The 23,931-nt window shown below is 40.6% G+C and overlaps 2 annotated features.

The window, feature by feature from the left end:
- Window positions 229-418: a silencer, noted in NCBI's record as "silent region_15684". NCBI's record gives its function as "represses an Ori minimal core promoter by ATAC-STARR-seq in GM12878 lymphoblastoid cells {active_cell/tissue: GM12878}" and the evidence as "EXISTENCE:reporter gene assay evidence [ECO:0000049][PMID:35858748]".
- Window positions 790-1,084: a silencer, noted in NCBI's record as "tiled region #12082; K562 Repressive DNase matched - State 5:Enh". NCBI's record gives its function as "represses a minimal TATA promoter and a strong SV40 promoter by Sharpr-MPRA in K562 cells {active_cell/tissue: K562}" and the evidence as "EXISTENCE:reporter gene assay evidence [ECO:0000049][PMID:27701403]".

A 23,931-nucleotide genomic window follows, 5' to 3' on the forward strand; every position in this document is an offset into this window, starting at 1 on the left:
TGCTCTCACTCCAAGCCTCCGCTAGGTTAAGTAGACGAGCCGGGCGGGTCTGAAGAAAAGATGCTACGACGGCCGCGCGGACGCTCATGGGCGGGGCGAGACCACAGCGCGTGCGCGGGCTCCTGAGCGCCACGCGCTCGCCTTTCGTTCGTAACCCCTGCGGGAGGCACGCCCCGCCCAGTCTCCAGGCTCTGCGCGTGCGCCCTGGAATCGCTTCCCTTCCTAGGCCTGCGTTCGCGTCCGCAAACTCCCGCCTCCTTGCGCTCCCCCCGCCCGGGAGCTTCACGTGCGCCTTGGCGGCCGCGGGGGCAGGTCCGGGCTGGACGCCTGGCGGAGGACGCGGGCAGGTGGCTTGTGGGAGGCTGGGGCATAGTTGAGCTGCAAGGCGCAAACCGATGAGGGGCGTCTGCTTTTCACCAGGGCGCCGTCGCTTTTGTCGGGAAACCGGCAGCGTAGGCGCGCAGACCGGGAAGCGGCAAGAAGATTTGGCCACGAGCTGGGGTCTTCCTGGAACGGAGAGAAAGCACGGAACCCGCACCGGGCTTCTCTGGCATCGGCAGTCTACGTGCTCCTCGCGCTGGCACCGAGCAGCCACTCCCCGCTGGGTTTGGCAAAGGCTGCTCTTGTAGAATTTTAAAGGATTTAGAGTCTCATTATTCCTTGAATCATAACTTCTGCGGCCGTAGGGAAGTGGACAGGTTGAGGTGGTCTTTCTATTCGTCATTCACTCTTATTTGCAGGTTCTGTTTCATGTACTTGGACGTCTTTTAGCCTCTCACACCTTGAAATTCTAGTGTGAAAAAGTGACCTCTGAAGTCTCACGCACTCAACTCGTTTGACGAACTCGTTTGACGTGTTCTCTCTTGCCCTTTGTTGTCTGTTGTCTTGAGTCTCATAGAATAGGTTTGAACCTTTCACTGTCGGTTTTGTAGGAGTCACTGAGGATATTGACGAGGCAAGTGACAGGGTCGACACTCTTGTAGAGAGGCTGTATAGCAACCAGGTGTCTGAAGGATTAGAGGCTGGGGAAAGAGTGGGAAAGCAGTTAGTAGGCTAGGGTATTTGTGCGTGAGGTGAGGAGACTCAGAGCTAGGGGAGACATTAGAGCAGGGGTTGGCAAACATTTTTTGTAAAGGGCCCGATCATATTTTAAGTCTCTGCCTTAACTACTCAGCTCTACCTTGTAACGAGAAAGCAGCCATAGACAATACTTGAATGAGTGTAGCTGTCTTCAGTAAAACTATGGACATTGAATTTTTAATATAATTTCAGGTATGAAATATTCTTTTGATTTTTAAGAAAATCATTGAAATATGTAAATTTTTTTTTTTTTAGTTCTGGAGAGGTGCAAAAACAACTTATAAGCCATATTGCTGAGCCCTGCATTAGAGGTACCTGAGGGAGAGCGACACAATTGGTAGTAAATGACCATATACTCTATCCTTCAATATGGAACACTTTTGGAAGTAAAGTAGGGCATTAATAATTATAGCCAGAGACCAGGAGTTATATCAGTTTTATCCCAGGCAAACCTAAAGGAATAGTCACCTTAAGGTTAAGGGTTAGGAGAAGTCAAAATTGCTTTAGGACTTGGTAACAGAAAATGGGAGGTGCCAGTGATGGAAATAGGAAGATAAAGAAGAAACTGGTTTTGAGGAGAAGATAGCTGTAGCAGTCCCAAGAGCTGTATACAGTTGAGACAACATTGATAGGAAGGAAGAAAGCACCCCAGAAGCAGGCCACTCCTTATATCTTATTGACCAGAACTGGGCTATTAGCTGTCCCTAAAGCAGTAACAGACAAGGAGCATGGGACATCCATGATTGCCTAGTGTTTATCTGGCTTTTTTAATTCTTATTCAGGACTGTGTTGAGCATTGCTGGACATTTACCATCTCTGGTTCCTTCCAGCTAAATGTCAGTACCACACCTCAGGCATTGTGACACCGTAAATCAACCGTTTTTCCCTCCCACCCCCCAGAGGTGTGGTACTGGTTGAGAACCAGTAGCTTAGACCCTCAGGATTTACCTTGGGGCTGAATTAGTGTGTGTAGGTTTCTTTTCCAGTTGGTTTGGAGGGAAGAGAGGAATTGGACAGTATTAAAGTTCTGCTGTCAAGGAAGTGGGCTGGGGAATGTTGGGTAGCTAACCAACATTGGCTGCCACGTGAAGTAAAAAAGTTTTCCTTTATATCCTTGATAAAATAGTGTCTCGACTTCTTCACACTTGAAGCCTTCCCAAAACCCCAGCTTTTTTGATTCTCATTGTAAGCCCCTTGAACTGGACTAGTTGGAAGTTCTTATTTTCCACCCTAAGTAACAAGCTCTTGTCCCAATAGGATACTCTTGCTTTGAGTACTGCAATAACTTTCCAATTGGTGACTTGCCGTCAGTCTTTTCCTATTTCATTCCTACACGAAGAGACTAGAACTGTGTTCTGATTTCCTTTGCTCAGACACCAATCTCCAGGGGTGCTCTGTAATTTGAAGAGGACAACTCAGAAAGCACTCAAGGGCCTCCATAAGTCCCTGAGTGGCTTCCCTGCCTTCCCGTTCCCCAGCAAACAATCCCTTGGATACCCTCTATTAAATGATACGTTTCCCCTTACAATACCTAGTCCCTTGCCCCATATATGCTATGTGTATTGCACAGTCTAGGACTTGACTCATGCTGTTTCCTCACGGAGCATGCCCTTCTTATTTCTAACCATACAAATTCCATGACCTATCCATTCTTTCAATTCTACTTCCACCTGAGGCCTCTATCAGCCCACATTAACCTACCTTCTTTGAATTTCTGTGTGTTCCTTACCTGTACCACCCATTTTGGCCTTTTATTTTATGCTCTTCTTGACTATTCTGTTATTGAAACTGTCCTTTAGATCCCAAGATTTCTACTTTTTCCCTGCGGATGCTTTTTTATTTTTTTTATTTTTGACTTCTTTCTACCCTCCTTTTCCTCTTACATCCCTGCTTTGCCTAGAGGACATCTACAAGAATCGTCATGTACATTCTTTTCTCCTGTTGTTAGCTTTTTTCCCCTGACACTTCATCTATTTACTGATTTACTTGTAAATCTCTGGAAGATATTAGTACTAGCCACCAAATATTTCTATTTCTTTTTCCACACACGTAGATTTGGATTTCCCTACTCCTTTTACCTCAAGAATGGCCAATGAAATGTGATTGGAAGTGACTTGTGTCATTTCCAAATAAAAGCTTTAAGAGCCTGTGGACATTTATCCTGCGCTGTTTCTTCCTGCCAACAGTGATGAAATATTTTAATTATCTATTGTCCCATGACAAAGCACCTTAAATCTTAATGGTTTAAAACAGTCACCATTTTATTATGTGTAACAGTTTTGTGGGTTGACTAGGCTCATGGGCAGTTGTCTAATCTTGCTCAGGGTCTCTCATGTGGTTCCAGCCTGGTATTGTTTGGGGCTGGAGTTTTTGGAGGCTCAACTAGGTTGCTAGAGTAGCTGAGCTTTTCTATTTACCCATGCCGTTCCAAAGACTCTCTGATTCACATGGCTTCTTCAGCAGAGTAGCCTGACTTCTTTCTTGCATGGTGGCTTAGGATTCTCAAATGCAATAAAAGCAAAAACTTCGAGGTTTTGTAAGTCTTAGGTCTGGAAATGACATGTTGTATTGGTAAAAGCAGTTACAGGGCCAGCTCAATTTTAAGGGGAGAGGAAATAAACACTTGATAGGGGTGGAGGGAGAGTGACAAAGAATTTGTGGCCATCTTTATTACAAAAATTTTTGTCAACCACAGAGTTACAGGAAAATGTGGCCATCTTTAATCACTACTCCAACGATGTTTCAAATTGAGTGGGCTTCCATCAGCCAGGGTCTCGGAGACAGGACAAAGTGGAAAACAGCTCCCAAATAACATACCTAGGTATATGAATAAGAAATACATCTCTGCTGTCCTGAGTCACTTAGCTATTTGGAGTTGTTTGGTATCAACTTTTGCATACTAATATAAAAATTGGTACTGGAAATAGGGTGGTGCTATAACAAAAATCTAAAATATGAGTCACTGACATATATAATAATTGAGTTAGAAATACTAGTGGTTGGTTGTTAGGCAGCATCCAGCTTTGACTCACTTATGCATTTCCCAGTGAACCTAGCTCAGAAGTTTGCACCATGATATTCAATAAATAATTCTTAAATAAGAGAGATTGTTTCTTGTAATTTTTCCCTATTTTAGGGAAAAACTTTTTTTTTTTTTCCATATCACATTTTTCTTGAAACATTGGAGTGCCACGAACATATCATTTGATGCTCTGTTTGAGTGCCACCAGTGAGTTTCCCGATGTTTAAGTTTGGCTCGTGGGCAGCCCACCTTCTTCCTCTCCACTTTCTCTTGGGAGCCATCCTGCTCATGGAAAGTGTGCTTTCTCCTCTGCTACCTCACACAAGTTTCAAAGGAGCTTGCTCCTGCCAGGGGAGGCTTGGGGTAAGCCAAACAGCATCAGCTCCCCGGGGGAAGGGAAATTTCAGGTTTGGAGCTAAGTTCACTTCCAGGGAGTGACAAAGCCTGTTTGAACTTTAATTCACAGAGTAAAAGAGTTCAATGTTGGCCATTAATGATTTGGACTTTAACATGAAGTTGGTACTGATTACTTTGGGCCATAATTTAGAAGGACAGAGTGATTTAATCTCTGAACTTTTAATTTCTCTCTGGAAAATTAATACTGGGAGAGGGTTAAAATCAAATTGAGAACATCTTGTTGGTTCTTAGTTATTAAAGTATTTGATCACATTTTAGAAATTCTGATAACTTTGGGCAAGCTGACAGGACATAGTTTGAGATGGCGATAGAACATATTGTGAATTACAGCCTTGGATACAGAATAGCATTGGAACTGATTTAATCGATAAATTGTTCTGACCCATTCAGGGCATTTTGGGGACAGACTCTACAGTTTACTAGTGGCCCCAGGACATCCTGCAAAAGAGGTGAAATCAGTATTGGAGAAGTGGTCTCATGAAGATGGGAGCACGACTACTACAATTGACTGCTGACTTCTCACCCAAGGAAGTAACTGTATCCCAGCCTAATCTCAGTGGATAAGCCCACAGGGTTAAGGTAATGGTCTTCATACTTTTGCTGACACACCCCTAAAATAGTTTTTAAGTTGACATGTAAAATATTTTGACCTTAGTGGCAAAACATGTAATTTTTTGCGTAATATAAATGTGAATATTTTAAAATAAAAAGGGTTATGTTACCTAAAATGCAATCTAAATGAAATCTAAATCCATAGAAAAGGAATACTCACCATCATTTATTTTCACAGAAATTTTACATTATGCCTTTTCCTATTTGAATTTGTATTTTCATTCTACTTCCCTAACATAATTTTATTTTAATGTATTTTGTGCCCAAATATATTTTATTGCTTACTCTATTATTCTTTTCCACAATAATAAGTTGTTTATAGGCTGGGCATGGTGGCTCATGCCTGTAATCCCAGCACTTTGGGAGGCTGAGGTGGGTGGATCATCTGAGCTCAGGAGTTCCAGATCAGCCTGGCCAACATGGTGAAACCCCTGTCTCTACTAAAATTAGCTGGGTGTGGTGGTGGACACCTGTAATCCCAGCTACTTGGGAGGCTGAGGCAGGAGAATCACTTGAACCTGGGAGGTGGAGGTTGCAGTGAGCTGAGATCATGTCATTGCACTCCAGCGTGGATGACAAGAGTGAGACTCTTATCTCAAAAAAAATAGTTTGTAATTTAAAAAAATTCCTATGACTATAAGGTTCTAAATGTCAGAAATTTCTTTTGAATGGAGTTATCATTACAATTATTGTTAGTACATAATAATCATAACTACATTATAAATTTTTACAAATAATTACTAAAGAGAACTAAAATTTTATTGGAAATATATCTCTCAACGAAGTGAATGGAGCTCCCTTCTCAATTACTTCATGTATTTATAGGTAAATGTAACTTTTTGCTAGGCAACAAAATGGGAAAATATGTTGGGTGATAATTAGGTATAGGGCTTACACAAGCAAATAAATGATTGTTGTTAAATGTGTTGTTTAAAATAGAAAACAATATATCTAAATCTAAGTCTATTACATGAATGGTAGGAATGAATAATGAGGTGAGAAATGTTTAACAAATAACACTGAGCAGACATATTTTGGTAAAAAAATGAATATAGATTTACTGTATTCAATAATCTTTTGGCAAAAATTAATTAGAATATTTTCTTCTAAGATCTGAATATCTATTAAAGAAAATGAGAAACATTAACTTTCTAGTTATATATGTTCCTTTTTCATGTAACATTGATATATTGAAAGGAAATTTGGAATTTTTTACATTCTTTTCCTTGAAATCATTTGGAATTTGCATCTGAGACACAGGAGAATGAGATTTTACATCAAATGCTCTCATTCCGGAGTAAGTGTGCCTTGTAGCTAATTGGTATTTCCCAGAATGATTTTCACAAATCTTGCATATCCAAATTCTGAGATGTATATGTGGAGCATGGAACCTGACTGTGAGTTTGTTATCTGGATGAAGTAGGGTACAACCTCCTTTAGTATTTTTGTTTGCTCTCTCACCCGCGTTCTTTGACATCATCAGGAAATGGAAGAGGAAATGGCATTGGACAAAAATTAGCACAGCACCCGCCCTTGTCCCAGTGTATGTATACTCAGAACACCTCAACATAGACCAAAATACCCAATTTCTAGCACCAGGCTCTTCTCTTAACTGAAATATATATAAGGAAAGCCAGGAAATCCTCATGTAGGTTTCTTATACCCTGATTAAATCAAATTTTGATTTCAAGACAGTATTTGGAATTGTTCCTTTGTATGATGCCTTAGAGGTTTTTTTGCACACCAGAGCAATTTGCTATAGAAGGATCTGGGATGGATAAGAAGATGCCTGTCTTTTATAAGCGGGAAAAGAATGATTTTTTTTTTTTTTTTTTACTTGTCACTGACTTGAAGCTTAAAGAATGATTTTTAAAAGGAGTTGTAAAAATAGAATTGATGTGACATCTCAACCTCAGTCATATTTCAGGCAGCTCAATTTTGGGAAAGAATAGGTGAAAGTTGAATAAATGGAATAGATTTCCTTAAAATTTCCTATGTCTGTATTCTCCTTAGAAAGTACCCATGGAATCACAGGGTAGACTTATGCCAGAGTGAAGACTACTAAATTAAGAGAATAAAATTGAGTGGGGAATGTGATGTAGTTACAGGGGGTGCTGTTAACACTCCTGGCCTCTTGGGTCACCCCTTCCTCTTCTCCATGAAGTAAGATACCTGATGGTGAGAAACTGTGAGAAACCTTGGCCTCTTTGGCCAGTCTTACTCTTGGGGCCAGGCTTCTCTCAGGAATCATGCCTTCTGGCCTATTTCTTTGGGCTGCAGATTTTACAGGGATAGGCCTGTGGAGTGAGGGGAGGGGAGGATTGCAGTTGCCCTGCACTACCGGTTAGCACCTCAGTGTAAGCCTGCCTCATCCTACAGTTTGGTGTTGGGAGGCCCATTGTTGCCATGCAATCTCCAGCATCAGCTTTATCAGTAGCCGTGGTAGTTTTTGGCTGTCTACTCTTTTGTGTTAGACTGAATTATTTACAGATCTGTGAAACATATACAAAATATTGACAAGCTGTACTTCGTTTTGATACTGAGTGAAAGTTCTCCAGTAGAACAACTGACTTTTAGCAGCATGCAGGTGCAGAAATTTCTGATGAGAAGAACCAAAAGATCATAACTTTGATTCTTTATTTTCTCTCCTCTCCAGTATCCAATGCAGTCTCTCAGGTGGTTTATACCTTGGTGGGAAAGAGGAGTGTGGTTTACTCCCAAGCCCTAAATACTCTCAGTTCTTAACAGTACTGTGCATATTAATACAATAAGTACTGTGAATTTTCCTAAGGTCACTTTGGCTATGAGGATATGTTCAATCCTGCTTTTTCCCTTTAATAATATTTTATATACATTTCATAGATTTGTACATAGTAATTATATTTTCAAAATGTTGTTTTGTAAGAGTCTGTTACTGGGACATATATATAAAGCATCAAAAGAGTTAGGTTCAGGAGAAAGAAAATTGCTCTACAGCCTTAAACAGTTAGTTCTTTGAGATTCACTATTGCCGGAGTTTCACAGAAGATGAATGAATACATTAAGGTTTGACTCTAAGGAAGTCAGCTTGCCATTCTGTTTCTTCCTGTGCTGTAAGCAGCCTGGCTTGCTAAGCCTTGGTTTTAACATTCATAAAACTATGATATGAAACACGGCCATCATATGAGAAAATAAGACTAAAAAGCAAAATAAAGACGTGATTACTGTAATAGAAGCTATGTGCCTATAGATCTCTAATATAGAAATGGTGCTTTTTAAAGGGGGTACAAATCGATGTTGTTTTATAAGTACTTGGGTCTTTAGAAAATGCAATCTGCTTTTCAGATTGCAAAAAACAAACAAACAAAAAAACCCCTCAGAAGCTAAGAGCCTTAGTTTAATGCAAAATAAACTGTTTTTGACTCCTCTATAATAAATTGGCACACATAATTCGAGTATTGTCATGCAGAAGCAGAAATTTTGACTAGCTTTACATTGTTATGGTTGCTGAATGAAAGATCTGCAGTAGAACAACTGACTTTTAGCAGCATGCAGGTGTAGAAATTTCTGATGAGAGAACCAAGAGATCAAAACTTTGATTCTTCTTTTTCTCTTCTTTCCAGTATCCAACTGTCAAGTTCCACTGGCCTTCCAATATATTGTCCCAAATCTGACTGACCACCTTCCATGTTTATAGCTACTATCCTAGTGCACGCCATCAGCAGCTATCATCTGAACCATGACAACAGCTTCTTGACTGGCGTCTTGGTTTCCACTCTTGCCTTCCCAGAGTTCATTCTCTGTTATTAGCCATTTAACAATATAAATCAGACCTACCACTTCCCTTCCTATACTTCACTAATGTCTTTGCCTTGCAATTAGAATAAAATCCAAACTCTTTATCATGGCCTATATGACCTATTCTATACCTTCCCTTTGATTGCTCTCAAATCGCCTTCCTTGCTCATTATGATCCAGTCATATTGATTTTCTGTCTTTGCTTGAATACTCCAACCTCATTCCTAACTTAGAGATTTTGCATTTGATCTTCCTCTGGGTCTGGAATTCTCTACCCCATTTCTCATGGCTGACTTGTTCTCATCACTGAAGTCTCAGCTCAAATATTCTCTCCTCTGAGAAGCCTTATCCTGACCACCTGTCTAAAGAGCTCTCACATCCTCTCCCCCAACTTTAATCATTCTCTATCCTGCTTAATTTTCTTCATAGCATTTAGCACTACCTGAAATTATCTTATTTTTTACATGTTTATTATCTGTCTGTCTGTTAGCCCCTAGTAGAATGTGGAATGTGATTTCACGGTGGTAGAGCTTTTACTGTCTTGTTTCCTGCTCTATCCTCAAAGCTTAGAACAAAGGTTGGCATTTGGTGGGGATTACTAAATATTTGCTGAATAAATGAATAAATCAAGGCCCTGATGTACCCAGAAAAGGCCTTTCAAGGGGCTTTGATCATACTAATTTTTCATGGTTCAGAGTTGTGGCCTTTCATTTTGAATGCTAAGAAATCTGCTTTTGCCAGCACATGGAAATTTTTTTTCTCCAGGAAAGAACTTTCATGAACTGAGTTGCAAGAGTGACATATAAAATCCCTAAGCCAATTTATTAGTTTCTGGTGAGCAGTATAACTGTCACATGGACTCAGAGTTGCACCAACATGATGTGTTGAAAAATCTCTGCCTATGGGCTGACATATAAAGGATAGTGAATTGAATCAGAAAGCTTTTTGAAAAACATTGAATACTAGAAAGGGAAATTAGTTAGATGGCTCATATATTTAAAAGCATTCATTTATTTCACAAATATTTCAAGATCTCTATCTTTTGTGTGGTGTGCTAGGTATTGAGGAGTCAACAGGGAATCATATCAAGTACCAGTCCTTAAAGATTTGCAGTCTAGTTGGGGAGGCTAACAATAAGCTGACAATTATAAATCAATGTCAAAATATTTTTTTAGGATAATCTTAGGGTAATATGGGAGGATTTAGATGGGAAACTGAGCCTTAGGGAATTGAGGTGAACTCTGAGGAGTTAGTGCAGCATGAGGAGAAAGAGCACTGTGTGCAGAAGCTGTGACCTGAACCAAGGTGTGGACCCGGAGAGGGCAGAGTTTTCTAAGAAACACAGGTAGCTGAGTGCGGCGGTAGTGAAGAGCTGTAGGGTGAGGTGAGAAGGCTGCAGATAAGGCTCATGGACTTAGGCTTGGACTTTATCCCTACATAGAGTAAAGAGGAGCCACTGAAAGTTTTGTTTCAGTGGGGAGGTAGAATCTATTTTTTAGGTTGCCGGAGCACAGCTGATATTTTGCATTCCTTTCTTCCTAAGAACTTTCCATGAATATCTGGCTAAAGTCTACACTCCCTCCCTTGAACACATGACCCTTCCTTTATATGTACTCTCCAGCCTTATATCCTACTGCTTTGCAGCACATGATCTGTGCTCCAGACACACCAAACTTCCTGGTTTCCAGATTCACTCCCGTCTTTAATTATGCCTTTGTATCCCCTGCACTTGTGAAGCATGCTCGTCTACCCCACTTCCAAAAAATGTTACTGAATCATTTTTCCAAATGACGGAAGTAAGACATGTTCTTTGTAACAAGCCAAAGGACAGAGAGATGTGGAAAGAAAAAATTAAAACTTTCTCCTTTCCTCTCACCACCACCACCACCACCACCACCATACCCATACACACAGAGTCCACTGTATAAAACAGTTTTTTTTTAACTTAAATAGATTCATGCTATTCATTTTGTGCAGTCTCTCCGTCTCCCAACAGAATCTCATGGACATCACTCTAGCACCTGCTGGGTGCCAGGCCCTGTGCCTCACCTCATTTACCCTACAACTACCATGGCACTATTGTCCCCAGTGGGTAGACAAGGAACTGACATGTGATTAATTTGCCCAAAGTTGCACAGCTAGTGATTGTGGGAGCAGCAGCTGGAACTTGGGCAATCTGGCTTTTGAGTCCAAAGTGCTACCACTGCCTTTTACTGTCTCCCAAATTAATGCTATTTTTGTTCTTTTTAATAACTTTACAATATTCGTATGGATGTCTGGAATATATTCAATTATTTCTCTTGTTGATGAATGTTGAGGTTATTTTTTGCCACTGCACTTCTCCAAGGAGGGACTTGAGATCAAAGAACATACTATTTTTATTAAGCATGGCCAAATTATATTCCAAGGATTATATAGCCCAAGCAACATAGAGGCATATCTGTTTCCTTATATTCCTGCCAGTCCTGGGTGATGCTGATATTTTTAGTTTTTTAGTTTGTTCGTTTGTTTTTTTACCCCTGGCTGTGTGATCAGTAAAAACAATACATCTTTATTTTGATTTGCATGTTTTCTGACTACAGGTGAGATTGTGAATTTTTCTGCATGTTTTTGGGATGTTTGCATTTCCTGTTTCATGATTTGTCCATGAATTTCCTCTCCTGTCTATTTTTTCTGTTGGGTTGTTTGTCCTTGATCATTTTTGGTGGAGGGTATGGTATATGTGTATGTGGAGGGATGTTTATAATATAATAAATAATTTTAACCCTTTTTCTCACATAGGTTCAAATACTTTCTCCTTGTCTATATTCATTCACCTTTTGAATTTGCTATGGGATCTTTTACCTTATAGAAGTGTTTACTTTTTATGTGGTCAAATCTGTTAGTCTTTTCCTTTTGGCTTTCCTGGAATTCACAGGTTTTAGGCATTTCTGTTCATTAAGGATTGGGACACTTGGCCAAGGCTCTCCCTGGAGGTGCTTGATGGGCTTTGAAAACTTTTGTCTCAGACTCTTTTACCTTTGTTTCTACTTCCCAGTCTCCTTCTGAGAGATCTGTTCTTTCTTGGAATTTGTTATTACATTCAACTAGACTAAAGCAAAGTATGTCTGGGCTGGGAATCATTTGTCATTGTAAAAGTGTGTTTGCATGTCTTTTCTCTGATTCACTATGTTTTAATTTTCTGTTTCTCTCTCCTTGTTTTAAGGAGTAATCATCATGCTCCATTTCGTTTTTGAGCCATCTTCAGCCTTTGAGTCCTTAAGCTTTTTGGAGACAGTTTGTGGAGAAGGTATGCCCTTGATACAAGGCCTATGGATAGTGATGACGATTGGTTTTGAGGCTGTGGATTTGAGAATGAGTTAGTCTCTGTCTTTGATTATAACTGTATAATCCTGGGAAGTTGTAATAGGTCTCCAGGCCCTTTTCCATAAAATAATAATACTGCTCTGAAGCTACTTTTTGACAGTGCAGGAGAGGACTCTAACCGTTAATTTAAATGTTTCGTCCTTGTTGGTCGCATTTCAAGAATATTTTAATTTCAAGACTTGTGCTTACGCCTTCACAAATTACCTTGGTGTACCCCTCTTTTCATTCACTGTTAGCCCATGAAAGAAGGATAAAATTTGTTTGCCTTAATGACTGGTGTCTTTTATAGAGTCTCTAGAATGAACTGCCTATTTCACTGTTGAGAAGAGAAACATTTAAACTCTTCGTGGAAGTTAAATTTGGGGTCATTTTACACAAACCATGGCTTTGGTCCAAGGAACTGAGATAGATCATGTGAGTTGGGAGTGGACAAGGGAAAGAGTCTGGCCTGCATTGTGGTAGATTTTTAAAAATTTAAATCTTTATGTTTAATTGAGAAATAATAATTGTATATATTTATGGGGCACAATGTGATGTTTCGATATATGTATGCATTATGGAATGATTATACCAGGTGAGTTAACATATCCATAACCTCACATACTTACCATTATTTTCTATTGAGAACATTTAAAATATATTCTTTTGACAAATTTGATATATAAAATACAGTGCTATAACTATGATTAATAATACATAATAATAATGCTACTGTATGATAAATTTCAAAAAATTATTCCTCCGTCTAACCAGTCTAACTTTGTATATCCTTTGACCAACATCTCCTCAGCCACTCCCTAGACTCCCAGCCTCTGGTAACCACCATTCTCTACTTTTATAAGTTCAACTTTTTTATATTCCACATGCAAGTAAGATTATTCAGTATTTGTCTTTCTATGCCTGGCTTATTTCACCTAGCATATTTTCTTTTGGATATGTCCACTTTCTTTTGTCCATTGGTGGACACTTAGGTTGATTTCATAACTTGGCTATTGTGAACACTGCAGCAATGAACACGGGAGTGCAGATATCTCTTTGACATACTGATTTCAATTCTTGTGGATATATGCCTAGAAGTGGGATTGCTGGATCATATGGTAATTTTATATTTAGTTTTTTGAGGAACCTCCATATTGTTTTCCGTAGTGACTTTACTTAGTGGATTTTGAAATGCACACAGAATTTGTTCCAGGTTTATTAATGGGCTCATAGAAAATAAAGCAAGAAGAGACATAAAGTTATTACCCAGGTGTCCCCCATGCCCTCAGGCTGGTGAATAACAAAACCAATCAGTGAAGGCAGTTTGTTGAATTGCTCAGTTGATAATACTCTTGGATGGTAGCTAATTTTAGGGGATTTGGGGATAAGTACTAGGATTGAGAAGCTAATTGGACAAGTGGATCTCAGGAGAACTCATGGCTGACCCATTGATCTGGTTCATTCTTTGCCTCCCATCTCCATGAGATTTGAGGCAGCATGGCCCCCCTGCTCTTAGCTGTGGATCTGTTAGGTAAGAGGAGATGACTACACCAACTCCTTGCTTAAAAGTCTTTCTGTCCCTTATCCTCAGGCCTTGAAAGTTTTAGGTTGTATGCAGAAATTAAAATCAATTAATATATTTAAATGCTATGTGCAAGACATTGTATGGGATGGTGTGTGTGTGTGTGTGTGTGTGTGTGTGTGTGTGTGTGTGGAAGAGAGAGGAGAGAGGGAGAAAGAGAAGAGAGTGCTGTATTAGGTAAGGCAGAGTTCTTGCCTCCAAGGAGCAGAGGTTGCTAACTCAATTGCCTAGGAGGCCGGGTAGATTCAGTCAGTCACATGGCTTTGCATGTGTAAGAAAAACAACAGAGTTAGCCAGATAAATGACATCAGATTCTTACTTGTGTCACTGACAATAGGAGGTGGTGGGTGCTATGGCAAATGGGAGTTGCACACCCTATGTAAAGAGAGCAGCCCATACAAAGATCTAGCATAGTGGTGTTCAAAGTATGGGTCCCTGGACCTGCAGCATCAGAATCACCTGGAAACCTGTTAGAAATGGAAGATTTTCAGCCCCGTCTCAGCCCACTGATTCAGAAACTCTAAACATGGGAGCCTTGCAGTCTCTGCTTTAATACACTTTGGCGATTTGAGAACCACTGTTGTACCATGGTGTTGCCTTGTGGGAATTTAGATCCAGTGTTGCTAGATCTTTTGATTTTTTTCAAGGGAAGCTATAAAGCTAAATCCTTATGGAATCTACTGATTTTTAAATATTAGAAGTTGTACAGGATATATGTAATTTTGGGGAGCATGAGAAGTGGGAAGAGGTACCCTGTACAGGCCAAACTGCAGGCTAAAGAAACCACATCTGTGAGCCTCGTGGCCTCCAGGCCTCCAGTATGAACTTAGAATAATTAAATGTCTGCTTCATTGTTGGACTAGAGCAATGATTTTCAGAGAGAGAGAGAGGAGAGAGAGAGAGAGAGAGAGAGAGAGAGAGAGAGAGAGAGAGAGTGAGAGTGAGTAGACTTGAAAGGCAAAAGGGGGCTTGTAAAGGCTGCACAGAATCTGATCCTTCCAGAGCATCCCTCAGGTATGTTAATAAGGAAGGAAAGAAGCCCCTGCTATGGCTCTTGAGCACTGTGGATTATAAACTGTGTTCACATCTGTTCTTTCATCAGGTCCTCACAACATTGTGCAACAAGTGTGAAAGATGTAGTCTCCATTTACGGCTACTGAAATAGGCTGAGAGAGGGTAAGTGATTTGCCTAAGGTCACATAGCTTGTGAGGCTTAAATCTGAGACTAGATACCTAATTCTATGCTTTCTAAACTAGAGTTTCTCTCTCATACATAGTTATGTATATTTATGTGTGTTTGTGTATCCAAACACCACTAATTCCTGAAAAGATCTGGTGTGGCTCACTGGTGACTGGTTTTTGTCCTGTTCCTTATGACTGAGCCTCAGCTGGTCCCCTCCCTGGGGTGGTGTGCTGCCTCAGGCCCCAGATTTTCTTCCTTTTTTCTTCTGTGAACTCCTTAGTACCAGTTGTCCCTCTTGGAACCTTTCTCCCACACCAGTTCTGCTCCTGGACTCTGACTACTCGGGGTCCCAGATTTCCCTGTTCTGGCCTGTCTTGCCACCGACCGAACCTCACTGGGACACTGGTTCTAGATTTGTCCCCTGTATGGGTGATATGTGACCCAGGCATCTGCCATCTGCAACTAGACTGAGTGTCCTGACTCATTTTCCATAGGCTGCTGAGCTGCCACCAGAGTAATGGCTTTCTGACATGTGGCAAGTTTGGATAATAAATGATGTATATTATTATATTAGGAGAGCTAGAGTATAGGATTCTTTCAAGTATTTTACCTCATCTAGCTTAAAATGCAACAGGCATGTATCCAGATAGCACTACCAGAAAAATTTTAGTAGTTTGAAATTTCTGGGGCCTGTTAAATATGATATTGATGAATTCTGCATTGTGCTGGGTATGGGGTGGGCATTGTGACAGTTTTAGATACAGTCTTTTGAAGGGGCTATTTCTTCCATGTTCGGAAACCAAGTGCTGGGGAGGGATGATGGGGGAGAGCTGGTGGTTGCTGAGTGTCCAGGTGTTTACAACAGGACCCTGCGTGTGCAGTGAATCAGAAACTGTTCAGTCTTCTCTTTCCTCGCCCTCACCCCAAACCATCCATGTAACTGTCTGTGTGTTGAGGGGGGTGGTGTTGGGGGTGGGAGAGAGATCTAGTGACTATGAAAGCACTAGGGTGCAGAAATGTCTTGGTACAGCGCTGCTGTGGATATTGATAGGAGGAAATAGAGAAGGTACCTTTTGCAAGGACCTCACGTAGCCCAGGGTTGGCTTCTATTAGTTAGTTTTTTTTTTTTTTTTTTTATCAGAGAATAACAGATCACTAGTGGGAAGGGTGTGTTTCAGCCTTATCTTGGATGCTTCCTTACTTTATTTGACTTAATTCAGAAACTATGCAATAGTTTTGTGTGACTTTTGCCATTTCCTTTTCACGTAATGAGTTTTATTTAAAGTCCTCATAACCGTTTTTTTGTTTTGTTTTGTTTTCTATGGTAAGAGTAATCAAATGAGAATTGTAAACAGTTTTGGGGCCATTTTTACTCGACAAAACTGTTCTCCTGAGCCAGACCTCTTTCTTTCTCTGAAACACTTAGGGGCAGGAGAACCAGACTTTTATAGGAGAAATATGAATTCTTGTACATTGTCACAAACTGGTTAATAAATAATTTAAAAGCAGAAAGGGTCCTATTGAAATATTGGACTCCAACTTTGTCCAGTAGACATACTGAGTACCAAGGATTTCTCAGCTTATTTGAACAAATGTAGGAAGATATTTAAAATTTCCCTCAGTGACCACATAGAATGTCATTTCTCTATCTGCTTCAACACAGAGCTGTTGGGTAGAAAGTGAAGGCTGAAGGTCACCTGGAATAATAACAGTAACAGCTTATTTATATTGTTTTGTACCAAAGCTGTTCATATATGTTTGTGTGTTGTGTGTGTACAGGTATATCCATATATATGTATACACACATACACACTACACATGTATATATATATATGGATATACCTGTACACACACAACACACACACACACAAATACACCTTTAATCCTCACAATAATGTATGGGTCAGGTACAATTATTATCACTATTTTACACATGTGGAAACTGAGGCACAATGATGTTAAGCCACTCTTCTAAGCTCACACAGCTAGAAACTGATCATTTGCATCCAGGCAATCTATACCATATCAGTTCCCTTGACATATTCTTGCAGGACTCACTGAGGATCAAAGTTCTCCAATCCTGGAACCTGTGCTAAAGCTACCCCACAGGCTGGTTCTGTTGTGTGAGACATTGATGCTATCACTCACCAATCTGCCTAGACCACAGTAGCTGACATTTACTGAGCACTTACTATGTGCCAGGTAATGTGGAAAGTACTTTGTATACATCATCTTACCAAATCCTCCCAGCAGACTTATGAAGTAGGGGCTGTTTTACATATGAGGAAACTGAGACCTGAAGAAGTTAAGTAACCTGCTCAAGATAAATGCTAGTAGGTATAGGCTCAAGATTTACCACTATGCTCTTCTGCTCTCTTGCTCAGGAGCTGGGCTCCTAACTTTGTGCTCCCAGTAAGGACTCTGCTAGTGCACATTTTCTCTGTGTCATGACTTTTGCTACCAGCCTCCTGAAGTCAAGGGTTAAGGGTGCTTTCGAGAGGAGAAAGCCTGGCTTAACAGGGAATCTGGAAGAGAGGTGACAGGAACTCTTCCCTTCAATGGGATCTGAGCAGTGCGTTATAGTGAGTTCCTGTGGGGGAAGGGCATTGATTGCTAAAATGGGAGCTCTTAAATATTCATTATGGTTGGTTACATTTTGGCCTTCACTCTTAACAATTACTATTTGATTCCACTTTATTTAATATATGACCTTTATTTTTCTTTTATTTATTCATTTGGCCACTGTTGATACCTTGAATATTTTAGCTGCCTACTATAGTCAAAGAGCTCTAGCAGAATTACTTGAAAATAGAATCAATTCATCTAAATTAGCCATCAATATTATGTTGTAAAAGGGATAATTATAGTAATGCCATTATATAAAATGAAAGTATAAATATATATAATAGATTCAACATGAGAATAATAGATGTTTAATTCTGGCATCTTCTCTAGATGTCTCTTATTTCAACACTCCTTAAGCTCCTACTCTCTGCTAGCCACCCTGGGAGGTGCTGGGATTATAAAGATAATAAGCCATGGACCTTGTCTTCAAGGGATATGCAGTCCCTGCTGGGAGACAATTGATAAAGAGCTATGAGAACACTAAGGGCGGATGCAACCCAGAGCAGAGGAGGTGGGGTGGAAATGCTGGCCAGGAAGGCTACTTGGAGGAGGTGATCCCAGAGCATTTAATATTTCACACTGGTGAGAGCAGGAAGGCTTGGTAGCTCAGCACACGGGGTCTGGAGTCAGGGGTGTTCAAATCCTGGCTCTCTTGCTTGCAGTTAAGTTTGTTTACTGTGGTGTTGCAGTTTCTCAGCTCCATTATACTCTTCTTTTTTTTTTGAGATGGAGTTTTGCTCTTGTTGCCCAGGCTGGAGTGCAGTGGTGTGATTTTGCCTCACTGCAGCCTCCGCCTCCTGGGTTCAAGTAATTCTCTTGCCTCAGCCTCCCAAGTAGCTGCGATTATAGGTGCTCGCCACCATACCTGGCTAATTTTTGTATTTTTAGTAGAGAAGGGGTTTTACCATGTTGGCTAGGCTGGTCTGGAACTCCTGACCTCAGGTGATCCACCTGCCTCAGCCTCTCAAAGTGTTGGGATTACAGGCATGAGCCACCACACCTGGCCCATTATACTCTTATGGAACCACTGTTGTGTATGTGATCTGTTGTTTTACTGAAACATGATGTGGCAGCACATGACTGTAGAAGGAAATACAACCACAGGAGAGGGTGTTTGGGCTAAGGTGTCATGATGTCATGGAAGAGTCTTACCCATTGATGTCCAGAGTCTCATGAAAAATTGAAGGATATATTCTAGATGAGTGTTTGGAGAAATCTGATGGACTCTTGGGAAAGTAAATTATAAAATTAAAACATATTTTTTTTTCAGTAAAGTGTAAAACTGGTCATCCTCCACCTGAAAGAGAATACTAAACTTTAAACCAAAATATAAAAAGAAAGATTGCTAGTTGTTTTTTATCTAATCCTTTTTGGTGAAAATATTAGTTTGAAAATTGTTATCTAAGGTCCCTGCCATCATTTGGAAAGTCAAGTGAAAAAAGAAAGAAAAAGTCTTCTGAACATTAGTCTGAATTCCAAACCTCATCATAAACTCTGGGAGAAAGGTGAAAGTTCAGCTTTTCCTATTGGCCTGGACTGGAATATCTGCCTTTCTCTTGCAGTTATATCTCTATTAGCAAATTGTCTGGAAGCAAATATACTTTAGTCAGCTGTGGTCAAACATGAAAATGCTCATGAGATATGCAAAGCAGGGTAGCCTGAGCTCAGCCATGATGGCTGAGAACAGCCTTAGTCTGTCTGTCTGTTTGGGTGCCTGACTGCCTGCACTCAGCTACAGAGCAGTGGGGCTGCAAGTCCTCGTGGTTTCTCCTTGGGGCTTTTATCTTTTCCTTTTCCCTCACTTAGCCAGGATTCCCCCCACCATCACAGGGCTGGTCTTAGCCCCTCCCTCTGATATCAGCCATTCCCACTCCACTTTCAGCAGCCTAGCATCCTGTTTGTGATCATTCTCCCAGTCCCACCATTAGGCAGTTGCTCTACCCCTTCCCTCTATCAAAGCATGAAAGGACCATGAGGCCCAGATGCAATGGTTCCAATGTACATTTCTATTTCCACCAGAGAGCCTTTCTGTCCTGGGGTGCCTGGGGCTAACCACAATGCGTTTCCTCAAGGCTCTGGCCCCAGCCTTAGGCAGTGAAAAAGACCAAAGCCTACCTGTACCAAGGAAATTCCTGGGCTGTTGGCCTCTTCCACCCTGCTCTTACTTCCTAACCCTCTCAACCCTAACTTCTCCCTTCTCTTTACCTCAGAGGCTTCTGTGGCATATTTTAAGTTTTTCCAGAATGTCCAGTGCTATTTTAATAAGCATTGAACTCCATTTTCATAGTGTATGAAATGCTTTTTCCAAAATTGAGACATGAGTCTCAGTGCCTCTTATATTGTTTTCATGTCTGAAAATGAAGTTTATGACAGAGGAATGTGTTGATGGAATATAATATCTTCATGAATAGAAGCATTAGTAAACTGGCTCAGTTGTCATTAAGAAATACTTTCATTTGCTTTTTGACAAAATAGTCATGAGTGAATAGCAAGTAATACATTAAAAACTGCTGATTTCTTATTGCACTCATTCATATTAAAATAACAATACAGAAAATAAATATAGAAAAACTTCACTTACAATCCTATCGCTCCATATAATTACTGTTTTATTTTCCTGTGTTCCCTTTCAGGCCTAGGCCATGTATTAGGAGGCTGCTGAATGGGGCTCTGAATACAGCTAGCTCCGTGGTAAAGGAATTCTTGTGAAAAGTTGTGTTCCATTTGTGTATTGTACTTCAAACTAGCTCTGGGCACTACCCACATTTTAACTTGCTGTGTTAACCAGCTTTAGTTTATTATCTCAGAACTCTGGCTGCACCATTATAGTAGCAACATTCATCTTTTTTTTGGCAGTGGTGGGGCCTTTACCACCAGCATATCAAGGAATATCACAATAAGCTCCACGACACTAGATTTTTTTTTTTTGAGACGGAGTCTCACTCTATCATCTAGGCTGGAGTGCAGTGGCATGATCTTGGCTCACTGCAACCTCTGCCTCCCAGGTTCAAGCGGTTCTCCTGCCTCAGCCTCTCGAGTAGTTGGGATTACAGGTGTGTGCCACAAATCTGGCTTTATTTTTTTTATTTTTTTTTATTTTTAGCAGAGATGGTGTTTTGCCATGTTGGCCAGATTGGTTTTGAACTCCCGGCCTCAAGTGATCTGCCCGCCTTGGCCTCGCAAAGTGCTGGGATTACAGGCGTGAGCTACCGTGTCCGGTCAACACTAGATCTTAATTGCATATTTCCAAAAGGTTAGTGAGTTTATGGATATTAATAGGCCTTCGTACATAAGAGCTGAATTCCCTCTTTATCTGGGATTCTTATGTTCTGTTGATATTATGGAAAGTTCTCAGCTCAAGACAGGCAATGAATTGGGCCTGAAGTCATACTCTATCCTCTAAACGGGGCAGCAATGCATATTTCCAAGCTCAAGAAAGAAATGACTCCCTCTGGCCTCTCCCCCTTTCTAATTTTCTTCCTGAAATTGTAGACGTCTTATCTTGGTATTTATAGCATATGCCTGATTACAAAAGTAATCTGAAGTGTTGATGAAAAACACAATTTCCTGGGGCCTTTCCAGGCCTATTGAATCAGAATTCTGTGGAATGGCTTGGTTTAAACAGGCACCTTGGGTGATTTTTACAATCCAGGCAGATTTGGAAACAGTTGTTTATTTGAAGGCAATCCATAGCTACCAGCTCACACATGTGCTTAGCACACTTTTGAGGAAAAGTAGCCAGTCGTTCCATCCTCGGGGGATCAATGGTTGTGTAGGCCTTTGTCCTTATTCCATCCTAAATACGGCATGGTCACGGCTATACAAAATGTAGGACGGGGTGGCAGGCCAATGTGGGAAGATAATCTTCTCTGTCAAGGTCATTATACATAATACTGCCACAGCCTTCACTTTGTAATTGGGAATTATATTCCTTATCTAAATTATAATTTGTACATGATGGGTGTGTGTGTGTGTGTGTGTGTGTGTGTGATTTTTTATTATGCTTTTTTTCATGTGATCACTGGGTTTTAAATTCAGTTTACTGAAAAAATGCTCTCTCATCAATCACTGTGGTATTAATTTGAAAGATAAGCAGATTTTATGCAACTCTAGGTCATGGCCAAGATCTGGAGTGATATTCCCTGAAGTAGGCTAGTCCCATAGTTGTGAAATAATGGGGCTTGTTTTGGATGTATGCTTCCTTGCTGGATTCCCCACTCACCCAGATTGATCCAGGCCCTCCTGCTGTCTGCCAGAAGCCCACCCTTTTTACTCACCTCCCTACCCTTCCCAGCAGGGCCCTATTCTCCCAAATCACCCTTCCTTCCCTCATAAGTTCATCTCTTGAGTCAAAAGATAAAATAAGAACAATAAAACATAACCCAACTCTCCTCCTCTAGATTTGATGATCTTAGCTGGTAGAAAGAAAGGGATGGATGAAACAAACTCATGCCGTAGCAGGAATGACTGATGGATCTTACTGCATTAGCAAATGGTCCCAAGGACATTTACATCTTAAGACATGATTGTTAAACTAAAGGAATAAGTCTCAAATACAGTGTATCAGACAGTTTAAAAGGAGAGTGAGGTGAAATGTGGGGCAGAGGGATCTTTAAATCACACAAGGGCCATAGTTCACTGCTCCCCGAGGCCAGCTGTTGCTCTTGGAAATGTGTTGATAATGGCATTTAGCCAAGAAGGCCAGGGAAACATTTGGGTCTGGTTAAAGGGCAAGCCCCGGTCTTTCGCTCTACCCTTCGTCTCTCTCATCTCCAACAGGGCACTGCATGGGTGTGCTCTCTGCACGGTGGGTTGTCATGGGAGCAAAAGGATCATCTGCCAGAGCAGGGGCCACCCCAGCAGAGGGAGCATCTGTCCTGGAGCAGTGCAGGAATGGTGCAAACCCAGAGTCAGGGCCCTTGACTTTTCATTATTGAAGGCTATTGACTTGTGGACTAAGTGGCTGTCAGGTATAGCCCTTTCACGTAGACAGAATCAAGAACCTTTGGCACAGGCTCTTATCACTGTGTGTAAAGGTAAAAAATTGATTAGGCTCAAGTGGAAGAAAACGTGATACTTTATTTTTTCTCAGTTGAAACTTTAGTCTCTGTGTCTTTCTGTGTCAAGAAAATAGTAAAATCCAAATCTAACCAGGCAGGCTTTTCCCCCGCTTGATTAAAGGATTTTTTTTTTTTTTTTTTTTTTTTGAGACAGAGTCTCGCTCTGTCACCCAGGCTGGAGTGCAGTGGCATGATCTCGGCTTACTGCAACCTCTGCCTCCCAGGTTCAAGCGATTCTCCTGCCTCGGCCTCCTTGATTAAAGGATTCTTAATTAAGAAAGGAAAATCTATTATAGAATAAATGCTAAATGAAAATAAAGCAAGCACATTGAACCCTCATTCCTAAGTTAGAAACAAAGCTCAGATATTCATCACAGTGTGTTTAGCCATGTTATGCTGTCGGTGTCCTCGGGTCCCTAGGTATCATGACTGCTTAATGATTTTCAGTGATGGGACAAAACTATAGAGACAAGGCTGGACATAGCTCTCTTCAATTTTATTTTTCATCCCTCCCCCCACCTACTAAATATTTCCCATATTAAATAAAAATCTGAAGTGTTAGTAACATAACTTGATGAGCCTGACTTCCCTCATCTGCAAGGTTTATCAGATGATATCAAAGAAGACTTTGGTCTCAAGATCAATGATTAAATATTCCAAGAGAAGAGATCTATTTTCCTGAGTGCATTTGTATTTCATGTTGCTCTTTGAGTGACTTTCTTGAGTTAGGATATGTGTTTAAATTACTTATTCTTCAAATGAATTGGTGAAGAAGTAAGTATAGATATTTTATTACAAAATAGCTAAAAGTTTATCAGTAATAACTGATACTTCCTGGGTGCCAGGCTCTGTTGTGTGTTTTATATGTACCATATCTAATCGGCACAACAATCTCCTGAGTGGTTGCCATTTTTGTTGCTGTTTTTAGTTCGGAACTGAAGCATAGGGAGTTTGGATGACTTCAGCAGGGTTCTACACTGGCTAGTGGTTTTACTGGGTTCTGGATCTGGGCAAAATTATTCCTCAGTCTTTAAGACTGAAGAGTCACAGAGGCTAAAGCTAAGGCTAACAGCCACAGAGCCATAATACCTCTCCTGCATTAACAACAAAGAAACCTAGAAGAATACACTGCAAGCTGGTAAGACAGGTTTCCTCTAGGATTATGGGAAGGGTGCCAGGAAAACTTTGGCCTTATCATATCATTTGAATTTCTTTTTATAATTATAAT

Source organism: Homo sapiens, chromosome 4, assembly GCF_000001405.40.
Source record: "Homo sapiens chromosome 4, GRCh38.p14 Primary Assembly".
NCBI classification, from domain to species: Eukaryota; Metazoa; Chordata; class Mammalia; order Primates; family Hominidae; genus Homo; species Homo sapiens.